At 35.7% G+C, this 17,033-nt stretch overlaps 1 protein-coding gene across 17 annotated transcripts in view; it reads left to right on the top strand.

Annotated features, from left to right (window-relative positions):
• Positions 1 to 11,623, top strand: part of CCDC82 (coiled-coil domain containing 82) — a 37,140-nt gene extending 25,517 nt beyond the window's left edge. For 13 of the 17 annotated variants that reach the window (NM_001437542.1, XM_011542988.4, NM_024725.4 and 10 more), the window contains 2 exons: positions 5,218 to 5,403; positions 10,682 to 11,623. In NM_001437542.1, the coding sequence (NP_001424471.1) occupies positions 5,218 to 5,403; positions 10,682 to 10,750 (255 nt within the window). In that variant the 3' untranslated portion in view covers positions 10,751 to 11,623. Of the gene's footprint in view, positions 1 to 5,217; positions 5,404 to 5,776 lie in introns of all 17 variants that reach the window. The other 4 variants (XM_017018310.2, XM_024448693.2, XM_047427606.1 and 1 more) reach the window with 1 other exon arrangement.
• Positions 11,624 to 17,033: the final 5,410 nt, after the last annotated feature.

Raw genomic sequence — 17,033 nt, 5'->3', positions numbered from 1 at the left:
GTGATTTCTCAGTATTATCGAGCAGTAGTTGACCAGATCCCTCTGAGAGATCTGGGTTGCAAGAATGACTTAGAAGGTTTTTATGGGGATAATGAATTCAGAATTGGTCTGTAATGTTTTGTTTGATATGTTACTATAAAAATATGAATATATATGTATATTTAATAGTCATATGCAAATTTCCCCATTGTTTAAAAACTGATCTATGACTTTTTATGACATAAGATATCTGGAATCCTAGCAAAAGTGATTTCGTACATTAGGGACCATGTTCTGTTATGTATATCAAATACATTGCTGTACCTTCATGGTCTTTGCTGTCTATAGCTAATTCTGAAGAGGAAAGTGGAGTAAGAAAATCACTTCTAGAGCTCTGACATTCCTGTGAAGCAGTAAAGATTCTATATAAAATAGTTATTCAAATATTTAAAAAAACAATAAACTGAAAGCATGAACTAAAAGCAAAGAACATCAATATTGCCAGTCACGTAAGAGAAAACTATAAAAGTTAACAAATATATGGGAAAATGCTTATTCTGCATGTAAGGGTATATAATTAAAACTACCTTAAGATGCCAGTTGGTAATTCTTAAAGTGGCAAAGTATTCTCAAATCAAATGATAAAATGCAATGCTATCAAGGTTGCACTGAAACTAGTAAGTTCATGGAAAGTAAGATTCCTAGAGGAAAAAAGGGGTGATACGTATCTTTTAAAAATACTAGATTTTTAGAGCTAGAGTCACAAAGCTATATACATACTCAATGTCTATAAGTTTATCTTTTGCAAAGCAGTTCAGTAAAGAGCAAATGGTATAATCATGAAGTTGAAAAATAATGCTAGTTTGAAAGTATGATAACAATTAGTATTTGCACTGTCTAGGCATCTATATAAAAATGTGTGTATGCGTATATAACTATATGTAAACGTTAAGTTAGTTATTGGGTATGTTAAGAGAGTGTGATTAAATTTTTTAAAGAGAAATTGTTTTTTCAGTAATTTTTTCTTTAAAGTGAAGAATGACTTACAAAAATTTATCTTACATCCTACTTCAATACAATGTAAATGCATATATGTAAAGAAGGAAAGAAAGGGAGAGAAAATAAACCTAGTTATGATCCAGAGCATTAAAAAGATTGTGCTTGGCCGGGCACGGTGGCTCACGCCTGTAATCCCAGCACTTTGGGAGGCCGAGGCAGGCGGATCACGAGGTCAGGAGATCGAGACCATCCTGGCTAACACGTGAAACCCCGTCTCTACTAAAAATACAAAAAATTAGCCGAGAGAGGTGGCGGGCACCTGTAGTCCCAGCTACTCGAGGCAGGAGAATGGCGTGAACCCCGGCGGGCAGAGCCTGCAGTGATCCGAGATCGCGCCACTGCACTCCAGCCTGGGCGACAGCGAGACTCCATCTCAAAAAAAAAAAAAAGAAAAGAAAAAGAAATTGTGCTTAACCCCACACCCATCTTCAAGTTATTTTGAAGACTAATTCTTTATTTTGTGTTGCTGCTTGCAGTTACATAAAATTGAGACATTAACTAGGGTTCTTTTTGAGGGTGCAAATAATACTTTTAAGGAATTCACTTAACAGCAAATTTGTTTCATAAGAAAACTTTTCTCCTTTCTTTAGCTTCTTTGAAAGAAAGGATGCCTTGATGGAAAGTGGAATCAGTGGGGGAAGAGTAATTTTGGTTACAGCAGTATTGATAGGGTACTGAGACGAGAGGCCTTGGACCACCAGATTGTGATAAAGTTTAAGGACATAGATGAGAAGGAAATTACCTGGATGAAAGAGAGTTGTGAAATCTGAAAGGTAGTTTGGGAGAACTAAAAACAATCTTGGATATATGTTTAGTTTTGCCCAGAGTCTATCCAGACTCCTTAAGATGCTTAGGATTTGGTGGGAAGAAGCAATAATTTTTGAGGCAAATGGCATTGTATAATATGTCTGTACAAAAAACAAACAAAAAACCAAACAAGGGCAAATAGAACCCTTTGGATTGGTATTGTACTATCTGTTTCTGAAGACCCAGAAACAGAAAACAAACTTTTCCCCAGACTTACTGTTTCCTTGAGAATCCTTTTTCTTTGTTCTTCATACTTTAACTTCCATAAGGAGCTGGCTCCTCTGCCTATAAATAAGAGCTTAGAGAAATACTTCAAAAAGCTACCTACAGTTAGCTAAATATTACCAAGTCTGCCTGGTACATGTTTCATTATATTTCCTTGCCTCAGTTTGTTATCTAGATTTAATTTACACTCCATGTGATATAGCTGTTAAATTAGAAATGAGATTCTTTCTTCTGCTTTAGCAAAATTCAGTGACAATTTTTAGCTCCATTTCCAATTTTTACATATGTGCGATCACTTGGTTCATACTGATAACTGAACTGACTCAGTCTCATATTTATCAGGTCAGATAACTGTGCTTAACCGTGCATAGTGGGCCAGTCATCATTTATGTGTCATCTTCTTTATTTGCTTTGTGAACACTCACCACAGCACCTATTTTTCTCTGGTATTTTTTATACTAATTTTCTTGTTAGAATAGTTTCCTTAATGTACAGAAATTGAACTAGATAATTACAGTTGTTCTAAATATATTTTTCTGGACATTTAAAGAAATCATTCTAACACCAGAGATTAATGTTACCTGTTTTAGTATTTTATACAAATTGATTCCTACAGTGTAAGCTGTATTGTACTGTATACTTCAATTCATATGATAAAGAAATACAATGGGCTGTAACAATACACTAAAAACAGGAATGAGTGAGGGGTTAAGTTCACTTGGAGTATTACACCTATCCTTTGCATCTACTGTTTTCTGTGAAATTTTACAGCAGTGATGCCCTTCCATATAGGTTCTTCCATATAAAATGTGATCATATTTTGGGAAAAAATACAAGAACATTTTAAGGTAATTTTTGATTTATAGATCTATATGATGATAAGTAGATGCCAAGAGGGGTAGGAATTAGAAATGGAAAGAAGTAAACCATAATGTTAAATATTTTCAAAGGATACTTGTTTTTCATACAGGAAAAAAAATTAGGATTTTTAAACACCTCTCCTTCCCTCTTGTTTCAACTTAAAAATGCTATACAGATAAATTCCTCTTGTTTTGTGGAAATACAGAATAAATGTGAAAGAAATACAAATCACTTTATCGTATGCCTATACTTCATGTAGAACAGCTATAGCTGAGTTCTCCCACACAGTCTACTTTGATGGCAGAAATGGAGACACACAGGGTACCCTTATAGTCACGGCAACTTTTGTGTTGTCTTTTTACACAAAGTTGGAAGTATTAGCAAGTGAATTGCTGAAATGTCATTACTACCAGGACTGCTTTGATGATAAGGTTGAATTGGAAAAGTTAATTTTAATAAGCCATGTACAATAATACCTGTTTACTTCTAATGATCTGAAAAGCAGGAAGGTTTTTACGGAGCCATGAACAAAAATCTGAACATGCTTTTCTTAAACTTTTGGAGATTTGAAGAAGGGTTGCAAAATGTCCAAAATACAGTTTTCACAAGAAAACACATCAAACCTGATTGTTGCCAATCATTGTGATATAACTTCTATTCATTTTTGGAAACATACTCCTGCTTTGTCTATCATCACTTGTATGTTTCCTTGCAGTGTGGCCTCAGGAAACAAGTGTATTTTTCTGTCAGACAGAACACAAGTTGCATAGATAAATATTAAAACTAGTACTCATGAAAGCATAACCCATTAGTGAACTTAGGTACAGACACAAATACTTAAGTCAGCAGGAAGTTTACTCTTTCCTTAGGTTACTACTCCATGAGAGTAAGATTGACCATATCATAATGTTTGGAGCCCTTTCTGATGCATTTTCTACAGTGGGTAAAATGATGTAGGTAAAAATATATTGGCTGGGCGTGGTGGCTCACACCTATAATCCCAGCACTTTGGGAGGCCGAGGTGGGCAGATCACGAGGTCAGGAGTTCGAGACCATGGCCAACATGGTGAAATCCCGTCTCTACTAAAAATACAAAAAAAAAAAATTAGCTGCGTGTGGTGACAGGCACCTGTAATCCCAGCTACTTGGGAGGCTGAGGCAGGGAAACCGGAATGTAGAGGTTGCAGTGAGCCAAGCTTGCACCACTGCACTCCAGCCTGGGTGAAAAAGCGAAACTCCATCTCAGGAAAAAAAAAACAAAAAAAATATATATATATATATTTAAATAAATATTTTAATATGTAAATATTTTAAATATCTATATTTAATATATATTAATATATATTAAATATATATAAATAATTTGGTCAGTGCAGTCAGACTGTCTTCCTATTTTAGCTGTAGTTTTGTATAACAAATTTTAAACATTCAAAACATTCTGAAAGAGAAAGGTTCTGGTTATTTGATTTCATAAAAAGAGTTCTTAATCATAGAATTATAGAAGTCCATATAAACGTAGGAATTAAAATTCTTATAGCTGGCTGACAGCAAAATATTAATGTCTTATTCACATATAACACCTTAAGTAAAGCAATCAGTATGCCTAAACACAGATTTATTTTTTTACTTTAGATCATTTTTTTTGGGGGGGGAAAAGAAAAGTATCTAGTAAAAAACTGCCAATACTTAATTTTGGTGTAAGAGTTTGTTTCAGTTTTACATGTTGCTTATAGCTAGAAAAATATTATAATCCAGTCATTTTTAACTTCATAAATATGGACTTATCATACTTTTCATGCTTTTTTTTTTTTTTTTTTTTTTTACTTTGCCCATCCTTCTGCCTTTCATTAAAGCCATTTCTCTTTTTTCCCCCGAACTTGGCAAACTCTTGTGTTTTCAAGACTTAGTTCAAGCTTGATTTGCTTGGGGACTTTTGTTCTATCTGGATTGGGCTAAGTGCCCCTCTTCACTAGCATTTTGGACATAGCATCTTGGACATACCATTTTTCATGTTGTTTTGTAACCATTTGTCTTTCTCTCAAAACTGTAAGCTCCCTAATACCGGTAATAGGTATTTTATTTATATATCTCTAGTGCCTAGCCCAATGTTTGAAACCTCACAGGTGCTCAGTGTTTGACTAGTTGTATAAGTAAGAGAAGGTAAAGGAATCATTGTGTAAACACTGGAAGTTAATAATGCATTTTGATTCTACTACTAAAGAAAATCCAAAAACCAGAAAGGATATATATTCGTTGTCAGATAACAATCTTTATTTCTTGATTTAGGTGTTCACTGTTGGCAGAATTTGTGCCAGCCGTACCAGAATTTATCATAAACTGAAACATTTTAAATTCAAACTATACCAGGAATGTTGCACCATTGCAATGACAGAAGAAGTTGAAGATGAACAAGTTAAAGAAACAGTGGAAAGAATTTTCAGGCGGTCAAAAGAAAATGGCTGGATTAAGGAGGTAAGGTGAATATATGAGAATCTTATCATGTAGATTCTGAAGGCTAATTATGATCAGCAAAAGGAAACAAATGATTAAAAGATAGTGAAATTTAAGAGAATCTCTTTCTTCTGTCGTTTGTATTTTCTCTTCTTCCGCTCATTCCTTTCATGCTTATCATTGTCCTTCTGAATAGATGCCCTGATGTTCTAAGGATTCACTCAGCCCATCAGATAAATTTTAATAAGCATTAACACTGTCCTTTATTGAAGGACCTCTGTCCTTTCGCTTTTATGTATGTATTGCTTACATATATATTAAGTCCCCTGATTTTTTTTTTTTTTTTTGACAGAGTATAGGACTCACCTCTGCTTGTCTGCTTCCTATTCTTTAGAACAGTTCTTGTGACCTGAGAGTGAAGAAGCACCTGGTGCCAGTCTGAGGAAAGGATCTCGGCTGCCAGTTCTAATACACCCACATCCTCTTCTTGAGGACATGGGACTGAGCAGTGAGCACTGTAACTGAAGATCGAGGGGAATGCAGAGGTTTCAGACCACAGCACTGATTTTGATTCCCCCATATCCTATTGATCACTAAATTTGATAACAGGAGTAAAGTGGGGGTTTTGAAGAGTGCACTGGATTCCCGAAGATCTGCTGGCAGCTTACAAGCTCTGGTCTGCTCACAGAGCTTTTAGAATTGTTTATGGTATATGGAAAGAATGCTAATACGACTGCAGTCTTCTAAAACAAGTCTAGTTACATGAATGTATAAGAGAGAACAAATAGTAGATTTTCAGGCAACTCTTATCAACATTTAATCTTTTAAAGAAAAGAAAAAAGCCTAACTTGAGATCCATTGCCTGGACTATATCATAGGGAAATTTGTAAAAGAGGAATATAAAAAATAAGGCAAGAGAGCTTAGGCAGATGGAAAGAAAACAAAACAGAAACTTTTTTAGCACATGTCATATTTAGTGGAGGTCTCCCAGTCTAGATAATGACATCATCACTGGTTTCCCTTTGACAATTTTTCTCCCACCACAAACCACCACCCAGTGATCTTGCCTGCCCCCCACATCTTGATCCTTAAGTCTTTCTCTCATTTTATTCTTTTCAGCTTTTTGTCTTTTACTTTGCTTCTACTTCTCCTACTCCAAATGCTTCTCCCTGCTTATCCGTACTTTTTCATTTGCTTTAGGAGAGAGCACTTATTCAATAACTTCCCGTCTTCATTTTCCTAGACAACATTAAATTCTTAAGTGCTTTTATTGATGCCTTTAAGTGTTGCCAACCCTCTAGTGGAACTGCAAAACCTATTGGGATAGCACAGTTATAAAGAATTAGATACTAGGTATAGAAAAATCACTGTGCATATACTGTATATGTTATATAATAGTATCATATATGGGGAAGAACTTTAAACTTCTTGAAGAAAAAAGCATTTCCAAATCATGTATCCTAGAAAAAGCTTAACAAGGTTTAGGACACCAGAAGGGACCTGGAATTTTAAAGACGTTATTCTTTATGCATAACACTTGGCATTCTTTTCTTAGGAAAAGAAAGGAGCTTAGGCTTTCTTTTCAAGAAAGCCAAGTGTCATGTTATACATAAAGAATAACATTTAGCATTAGGCATTGAAGGTATTTCAAGATTGTGCATGTCTAGGACAGTATACACATTTTTTTCCCCATGAAAATACCAAAGACCTTCATTTTTTTGAGATTTCTCCACTTAAAAAATTTGTTCCTAGGTTTTCTCAAAAGATTTCCTAGAAACCACAGAGGTTTATAGCCAATATAAACCCATTTGCAGCTTTTTGTGCTGTAATGAAATTTCAAAATTTGTCACGTGCTCTGACATTTCCCATCCTCACTCTGTCTGTCCCTCTCACTGTGTGCCTTTGAGTGATAGCACTGCATGTACTTTGTGATGTGTGCTGCCTTTAGCTACAGTCTGGTAGTCACAGTTACTCTAACCCTTTAGAATGCCTGGGGCTCAGTGTTACTTGAATGCCGTCTCCATGGCACTTTCCGCTCATATTTCCCATTTATGTCAACCCCTTTTGTTGCCTTACACGTACTATTTGTTCCTGTCTTTCTGCCTCCAGCTTGTATTCCACACCTTACTTTTTCCCTTACCTGCTTCTTCAGCCATTTTACTTTAATTATCTCAGGATGTCTCAGCATGTCTTCCCAAAGACATGCCAACTAGACTGACTTCATTCTTTTTGTTCTTCCTTCTAAAGGTTGAACTAGGGTGATCCGTTTTTAATGTAATGATACTAAAGGGGTGTAGGAGCAACTTGAGTATAAGAAAAGAATAGATAATAGGAAAATTATAATAAAACCAAAATATTTAATAAACATAATAATGCATGTCTTATTCTAAAGAAGAGTTCAATAACATACTCTAATATGACACTGGCAAAATTCTAACGAATATTTGTTCATTAAGAAGAAAGTGTATATGATGATGGGACTTCCTGGGAAGTTGAAGATAGTATTGTTGGGATTGGCTGGTGGATGCATAAACACCAGGTAGTAAAGAAAGCATGTCAATAGAAGTATCAGATGCCCATTCATACTGTAAATACTGTGTGTAAAACTGTTACAAGTGACAGTTGTATGTAAATTTTAAATGCACTGATAAATATTGTCATATACATAATAATTTAAAATTATAATTAGATATCCCTTGCCTTCCTTAAACGCTTCTCTTCTTTTTCCCCTCCTTTTCAACTTTTTCCCTTGCCCCTTTTTTCCCCACCCCTTAAACTGATGTTTCTCAAAGCATGGCCCTAAACTACCTATATCAGAATCACCTAGAAGTTTTTGAAAAGTGTATAATCCCCTAGCCTCATCCCAGATTTATTGAATGACAATCCTTGTGGATGTTAAACATCCAATATTTTTAGCATTGATGATTCTTAAATAGATAAAAGTTTGAGGATCACTGCTAAAAAGTACCCGTTAACACTGAATTCTGTCCTCATCCTCTCAAAGTTGCCTTGGCGAATCAATTCCCTTCTGCAGTTGTAGCTACTACTTCTGAGTAGAAGATTCCAAACTTCTCTTATATTCTGACCTCTTTCCCACACTTCATTTCCACAATTCCAACTGTTTTCATCAGTAGGTCCATCAGGTGTTGTAAGAGAGTAGTCTTCACTATTAAAATAAGTAGTCTTCACTATTAAAACCCTCCAAATGTTTAGTAAAGAATTATGAGAGCAGTATCTTTAGGTAGAGAGGATGGCAGAGTAATACTAACTGCAATGTCTGTGAGTTTCACTTTCCAAGTTTTTTTTTTCTTGCCAAAGCTGCATCCTAGCCACACCATTTAAATCTCAGAAACAGCATACTCTAAACTGGTTAAAAGTATAAGCTTAAGTATTTGCTTTGCCACTTACTAGCAGTAGAATTTGGGAGCAAGCTATTTTATTTCTCTTAGCCTAAGTTTTCTCATCTGTAAAGTAGGAACAAAAACAGTAATAATAATTAGGGTTTTGATTGTGGAGATTAGATATGTAATACGTTTTAAGCATTTAGTATAGGACCTAGCAATTAGTAAGTGATTGATTAATCTTAGCTGTTACTTGCAATAAAAGCAAGTAACCTCCTATCTTAGTATAGCTGAGATAGATTTTAATTGTCCTAGCTGTGTGTGGTGGTGCACAGCTGTAGTCACAGCTACTTGGGAGGCTGAGGTGGTAGAATCGCCTGAGCCCAGGAGTTCAAGGCCAGCCTGAGCAAGATAGTGAGACCCTGTCTCTTAAAATAATTTTTTTAATTTTTAATTTTCCAAAAGAAATTTAATAAATAATAAAGGAATATGAGGAAAGGTAATATGAGAAACATAAAAAGTCAAACTTTTAAAGTATAGGTTTCTAATCCTAGAGTACTTTACTTATATCTAATAAAACCTATCTAAGTACTAGGCCAAAGAAAATTCCTAAGTAGTCCCTAGGCTATTTCCCCTTCTGTTATGTGTTTCCATCTTTCCTGAGAAGGAGATCCAGTCAGATATCATACGGTTATAAAAAAGAGTTTCATGGCCTTCAAGGTGTAGAAGGAAAATGCACTTCTCAACATTCCCTTCTGTAGGTCCCTATCACCACAAAAGTCAGGGTCACCAGGATCCTCTCTCATTTCACTGAAGATTAAAACACAGTTCATAAACAGAGTCAAGAAACTAGTATGTCATTAATCCCCTCACTGAAATAAATACTTTGAACTCTATATGTCTGAAACTGAAATCATGATATCTTTCCCTCGCACAAACAACCTGCAAAAGAGCCTGCCATTATTCTACTCTGTCAACTTTGAAATCTCTAAATCATTCTTGACCCCTCTCTTAACTTGTTACACTTTGTTCTTTACTCTTCATCTTCATTGCCATGACTCAGATTTGGGCCCTCATGACCTAAATTGTTATCACAGACCCATAACTAGTTGCTGAACTATTCTAGAATGAATGTTTTACCGATTTTCTTAAAATACACCTGAGATCAGTTCAGTCCCCTGCTCCAAAACCTTTAGCAACTTTCCATTACCTGTCAAATGATTGTTCAATTCTTTAACCAGTATTTTATAATTTTTGTTCTCTGAACTCAGCCTCTTTGGTTCAGTCTTAGCTCTCTCTGTTCTCCTAAAAATACTCAGGTTGTAGTCAAATCCCATATTTTCTTGTCACGTCACTTTGATGGACTGTTCCCTCTTACTGAAAAGTCTTGCCACCAACTCTTTGCCTACCAAATCTGTTTTTCCAGGACAACTTAAATGCCACTCTTTACTGCTTACCTCAACTAACCATGACCTATCTTCTGAACCCTCATAACAGTGTCTGTACCTCTTTGGCACTTATTACTGATTGTTATTGGTGTATTACTACTGAACTGTATTCTCCTTAGGGGCAGGAAAAGTATCTTTTAAAAAACACTGTACCTAGACAGTCATTAGCAGAGCCTTTGATATATATGTTCAACAAACTTTTTATTAAGTTATTGAGGTTACTACATTTCTACTGTAATCATGATAATATAAAAATTATAATTTAAAACACAGTTATAAAATTAATAATATTCACTTTGATCACTTTCCAATGCTTTCTATATGGAAATATATGAGTTATATATGAGTTAGGAATGCTTATTTGAAATTAAGTTCCTGTTTATCATAAAAAGATTTTTGTTCACGATTACCATGAAATGGACTTATCCTAATTGTGTCTGTAGTTTGCAAAGGCCCAGTTTGTCTTCATTGCTTTGAGTAAAATAACTAGCTTTTCTATTGTATATGCAGAAATATGGTCAACTTGAAGAATATCTCAATTTTGCGGATTACTTTCAAGAAGAGAAGTTTGAGTTGTAACACATTTCCATCAGAGAAGATTTTTTAAATTCCTGTAAATGTGAAGATCATGATTCTTGTTTTTCTGTATCATGTGACATGTTTGTACATTTTATCTATATCTTCATGGCAAAATATTTTGTTTAAAACATGATTATCTTAATTCCTGTGAAGTGGCACTCTACACTCTAATTAAACTTTTATCTGATGTACATAAAAGCATTATCTTAATTTTTAAGTCTGTAAATATATTTTAAAGTTATATAATAATGGCTTTATAACAGATGACTGTCAAGTGAATGAGCTGTTGATATCCTGTCAGTTTAGTCAAAATATATTGTATCTTAAAAATGTATTTAGACTAACGTCTACATGTATTTTTACGGAATTCCTGTCCAGATCTGTTTATTCTTTTACAGTATTAAATGATTTTCACTAATATATTTTTTACTGCTATCATCTAAATCAGTGGGCCATGGAAGAAACCTCATATATCATTCAGTTCAATCCCATTGCTTCAGAATCAGATCATAGCATATCTATTCTAAGTAGAGGAATGCTTTTTTCCTTTTCTTGAAAGTTTCTCTTTCAAATAGATTTCAGGCCTCTAGAGTCTTTCAACCCTCACATTCAGGAATAATTTTATGTAAATTTTCATGCTTTATAATGTTCTTACTTTTTTCTATTCAATTTTGTCTATATATTGATGATTAAGATGTATTTTATTTATTTTTATCCATAGCTTTTTCCATATAAGTATGTATCTTAGGGTCAGAACTGCTGAAAGAGACAAACTCAGCCAAAAACACTTGGAAAGCATATTTTGGTATCTGCATTGCTTTGCATATCTAAATTTTCCCATAAAGTAATAAAGTAAAATGGTTGCAGAGTGAACAAATGAACCCTGTGTGTTCTATATTTTTAATTCTTAAAAGTGGTATTCTAGTAGGATCTATCCTTTAGATAATTTTTTCTTAATGGAAGTCTTGGTTGAACTTGGATTCATCTATTATGCGACTCATGGCATGGACCGTAGTGTACGTATCCATAAAAAGCTACATTAAGCTCATATATGGAAATGAGTTAATATTTTCTACAATTCATTTCCTGAAATTATCCGTATTATTATTGTAAACAAATGGGGTGGAAAAAACTCACAATTGTGGTAACAGTACTGATGCTGATGTTTAATGTTTAATGAGGAGTGCATACCTTTTTCAAACATTGTGAAATGGAAATTTCACATATCTGTATTTTTTTTTAATTTGAGATGGAGTCTTGCTCTTGTCACCCAGGCTGGCGTGCAATGGCATGATCTCTACTCACTGCAACCTCCGCCTCCCGGGTTCAAGCGACTCACCCACCTCAACCTCCTGAGTGGCTGGGATTACAGGCATGCGCCACCACACCTGGCTAATTTTGCATTTTTTAGTAGAGATGGGGTTTCACCATGTTGGCCACGCTGGTCTTGAACTCCTGACTTCAGGTGATCCACCCACCTTGGCTTCTCAAAGTCCTGTGATTACAAGCATGAGCCACTGTGTCTGCCCTACATATCTGTATACTTATTCATATTTCCCTGGCATATTGCAAAATAATTCTTAACTAAATTCCAAGGAATAAAAATAAAGTCGTAATTGAAAGGTGAAGATGAAGGGACAGTGTCCACAAAAAAAGCAAGGCAGAGTTAGAAGTGACAGTCAAGGAGGAAGGGTAAAGGATCACAAATGATTTATAAAAAGGAAGGCCAGAAGAAATGAAAAAAAAAAAAGGATCTCTAAAGTATCTCCAATTACCTAGAAGCATCAGTTCTCATATGGGACATTACAGACAAGCTTGAGATGGCTGAAGAGTAATCTTAAAATATATCTCTTACTTTTAACAGCATGCAGTTAATTTGTAAATTAAGGCACTAATAATTCCAAGGACTTATCTGGATCAACCATCTTGTTGGCTTGAAGCACTTTTCCTATTGGAACAGCTGCCTGTTGATCATAAAATGCTTATAGGTAGTTTGATGTCTAAGGTCATTGCAACCAAGCATGCTACTTTGTAGGAATTTGGAGAATACAAGAGGCTCTAAGGTCGTGGTAACATTAAAAGAATGGCAAAAAGGCTGTTAGGAAGTGAGAATTAACATGTATTAGGGGGCAAAAAGCAAGTAGTTCATAAGAAAATGGAAATGTTGAGAAATAGAATTAACCTTTACAGGTATTAGGACATATTATTTTATCATTATCATCATCATCATCAATATCATTGATTCAATAACAACACAAAAACAGGTTTTTTTTGTTTTTGTTTTTGTTTTTTTGAGATGGAGTCTCGCTCTGTTGCCAGGCTGTAGTGCAGTGGGGCGATCTCACTCACTGCAACCTCCACCTCCCAAGGTCAACCGATTCCCCTGCTTCAGCGTCCCAAGTAGCTGGGACTACAGGTGTGCACCACCATGCCCAGCTAATTACAAAAATAGTTTTTAAGCTCATTTATTTCACATATCATTTCACATGACTGTAAATTTTTTAGATTTGGTCATTTATTACTACAGTGTTAGGTGCTTTAGTGTTAGGTAGCTATTGATAGCAGAGATGATGAGGAAGACAGAAATGGACAAGTAAAAGGAAAGTAATTCTAGAAAGAAATCACAGGGCTATACAGAAGCTTTAGGGTTATGAAGAGAGGGAACAAAACCATAAGACAGGAAAAAACAAGGGAAAATAAATGTTTATTGTACAGGCAGTTGGATGCAATTGGCCACATTTCCTGACTTGTCTGCTCATATTCAGATGAGTAGATCTATATAGTACTCATTCCCAGGAGGTATTATAGGACTTACTTAGATTCCAGAGTGTTCACTGAGGGATAGACTGCAGCCTTTGAGCAGCTTTGAGCTACTTTGGAGATAGTTTGGCTCCCCCATAACTCCTTTCATACTTGCTATTGAGGCAGCCAGACTAGTGATTAAGGTGGAAGTCAGTCTTTTTTCTTCAACTTTTATTTTAACTTCCGGGATACATGTGTAGGATGTGTAGGCTTGTTACATAGGTAAATGTGTGCCATGGTGGTTTGCTGCACAGATCATCCCATCACCTAGGTTTTAAGCCCAGCATCCATTAGCTATTCTTCCTGATGCTCCCCATCCCCCAACCCAACCACCAACAGGCTCCAGTGTGTGTTGTTCCCCACCATGTGTCCATATGTTCTCATCATTCAGCTCCCACTTACAAGTGAGACGGTGCGATGTTTGGTTTTCTATTCCTGCATTAGTCTGCTGAGGAAAATGGCTTCCAACTCCGTCCATGTCCCTGCAAAGGCCATGATCTCATTTCTTTTTATGACTGCATAGTATTCCCTGGTGTTTATGTACCACATTTTCTTTATCCACTCTATCATTGATGGGCATTTAGGTCGATTCTGTGTTTTTGCTATTGTGAATAGTGCTGCAGTGAACATACATGTGCACATATCTTTATAATAGAATGATTTATATTCCTTTGGGTATATACGCAGTTATGGGATTGCTGGGTCAAATGGTATTTCTGCCTCTAGGTCTTTGAGGAATCACCACACTGTCTTCCACAATGATTGAACTAATTTACACCAACAGTGTAAAAGCATGCCTTTTTTCTCCACCACCTTGCCAGCATCTGTTGTTTTTGTTTTGTGTTTTTGTTTGTTTTTTTACTTTTACCTAATAGCCCTTCTGACTGGCATGAGATGGTATCTCATTGTGGTCTGGATTTGCATTTCTCTAATGATCAGTGATGTTGAGCTTTTTTCGTATGTTTGTTGGCTGCATAAATGTCTACTTTTGAGGGCTGTCTGTTCATGTCCTTTGCCCACTTTTTAATGGGGTTTGTTTTATTCTTTTAAATTTGTTTAAGTTCCTTGTAGACTCTGGCTATTAGACCTTTGTCAGATGGATAGATTGCAAAAATTTTTTCTCATTGTGTAGGTTGTCTGCTTACTCTGATGACAGTTTCTTTTGCTATGCAGAAGCTTTTTAGTTAATCAGATCCCATTTGTCAAGTTTTGCTTTTTTGCAATTGCTTTTGGTGTTTTCATCATGAAATCTTTGCCCGTGCCTATGTCCTGAATGGTATTGCCTAGATTTTCTTCTAGGGTTTTTATAGTTTGGGATTTTACATTTAAGTCTTTAATCCATCTAGAGTTCACCACTTCTGTTCAATATAGTGTTGGAAGTTCTGGCCAGGGCAATCAGGCAAGAGAAGGAAATAAAGAGTATTCAAATAGGAAGAAAGGAAGTCAAATTATCTTTGTTTGCAGATGACATGATTCTATGTCTAGAAAACCCCATTGTCTCAGCCCAAAAGCTTCTTAAGCTGATAAGCAACTTAAGCAAAGTCTCAGAATACAAAATCAACGTGCAAAGATTGCTAGCATTCCTATATACCAACAACAGGCAAGCAGAGAGCCAAATCATGAATGAACTCCCATTCACAATTGCTACAAAAAGAATAAAATACCTAGGAATACAGCTAACAAAGGAAGTGAAGGACCTCTTCAAGGAGGACTACAAACTACTGCTCAAAGAAATCAGAGAGGACACAAATGGAATCCATGCTCATGGATAGGAAGAATCAATATCGTGAAAATGGCCATACTGCCCAAAGTAATTTATAGATTCAATGCTATTCCCATTAAACTACCATTAACATTCTTCACAGAATTAGAAAAAACTATTTCAAAATTCATATGGAACCAAAAAAGAGCCTGAATAGCCAAGACAATCCTGAGCAAAAAGAAAAAGGCTGGAGGCCTCATGCTACCCAACTTCAAACTATACTACAAGGCTACAGTAACCAAAACAGCATGGTACTGGTACAAGAACAGACACATAGACCAATCGAACAGAATAGAGAACTCAGAAATATGACCACCCACCTACAACCATCTGATCTTCAACAAACCTGACAAAAACACCCAAGTGAGGAAGGATTCCCTACAAAATAAATTATGCTGGGAGAATTGGCTAGCCATATGCAGAAAATTGAAACTGGACACCTTCCTTACACCATGAAGTCAGTCTTGAATTAGAATTCTGGTCTATTGACTTCCTAGTTATATGAACAAGAACCAGTACTTTAATTTTCATGAGCCTTAGTTTTTCTCATTTATAAATGGAGTTATAGTATCTCTCAGGATTGTTTGTGGATTAAGAGGGATAATATTTGAGAAGTGCTGTGGCATAACAGTAATTTTTTAATTGCAACCGATGGAAACAGAAATGAAGATGTTGATGATGATGTCAACTTGAAATTAAATGTCTATTTAAGGGTAAATGTGTAAAAAAAAAAGACACTCCAAAGAAGTGTCCTATACCACTGGAATATAGTATGAATATTAAATTCCTGCTTCACAATTTAAGATATGTCTATGTCTAGCAGAGTAGTTAAAGTTTACATCATTTAGTAATAGCTGATTTGACTAAGGACTGCATGTTATGAATCAAATTCCATGTTACTGAAGGGCTACAGAGTGAATGGAATGGTTTCAGTTTAAATATTACATGTTTCTTTTATGCTGAATGTAAAATATCCACAGTAGTACAAAGAAGATATTGTCTGATGAAGACAACTTTTTAAAACTAAACTTTTAAAAATAAAAGTTTTCTATTTTTGTCCTCTTTAATGACACCTCATGACAGTTCTCCATTCAAATTCTGTTTATCTAACAAATATATATTTCTGCTTTTCTCATGAGTAGTGAGGAACTTAGCCTTGGAAGGAACAGATAGAGATAGAAGTATGTTCCAATGAAGGCTGGGCGCAGTGGCTCATGCCTGTGATCTCAGCACTTTGTGAGGCTGGGGCGGGCGGATCACAAGGTCAGGAGATTGAGACCGTCCTGGCTAACACAGTCAAACTCCGTCTCTACTAAAACTACAAAAAATTAGTTGGGCGGGGTGGCGTGCGCCTGTAATCCCAGCTATTCAGGATGGTGAGGCAGGAGAATCACTTGAACCTGGGAGGTGGAGGTTGCAGTGAGCTGAGATCGTGCCACTGCACTCCAGCCTGGGTGACAGAGCGAGACTAGGTCTTAAAAAAAAAAAAAATTGAGGCAATAATTAATAGCTTACCAACCAAAAAAAGTCCAGGACCAGATGGATTCACAGCCGAATTCTACCACAGGTACAAGGAGGAGCTGGTACCATTCCTTCTGAAACTATTCCAATCAACAGAAAAAGAGGGAATCTTCCCTAACTCATTTTATGAGGCCACCATCATCCTGATACCAAAGCCTGGCAGAGACATAACAAAAAAAGAGAATTTTAGACCAATAT

The sequence above is a fragment of the Homo sapiens genome, chromosome 11, assembly GCF_000001405.40.
Source record: "Homo sapiens chromosome 11, GRCh38.p14 Primary Assembly".
Lineage (NCBI taxonomy): Eukaryota > Metazoa > Chordata > Mammalia > Primates > Hominidae > Homo > Homo sapiens.
Note: the sequence above shows the minus strand (reverse complement) of the source record. Positions and strands in the feature narration are given on the sequence as shown.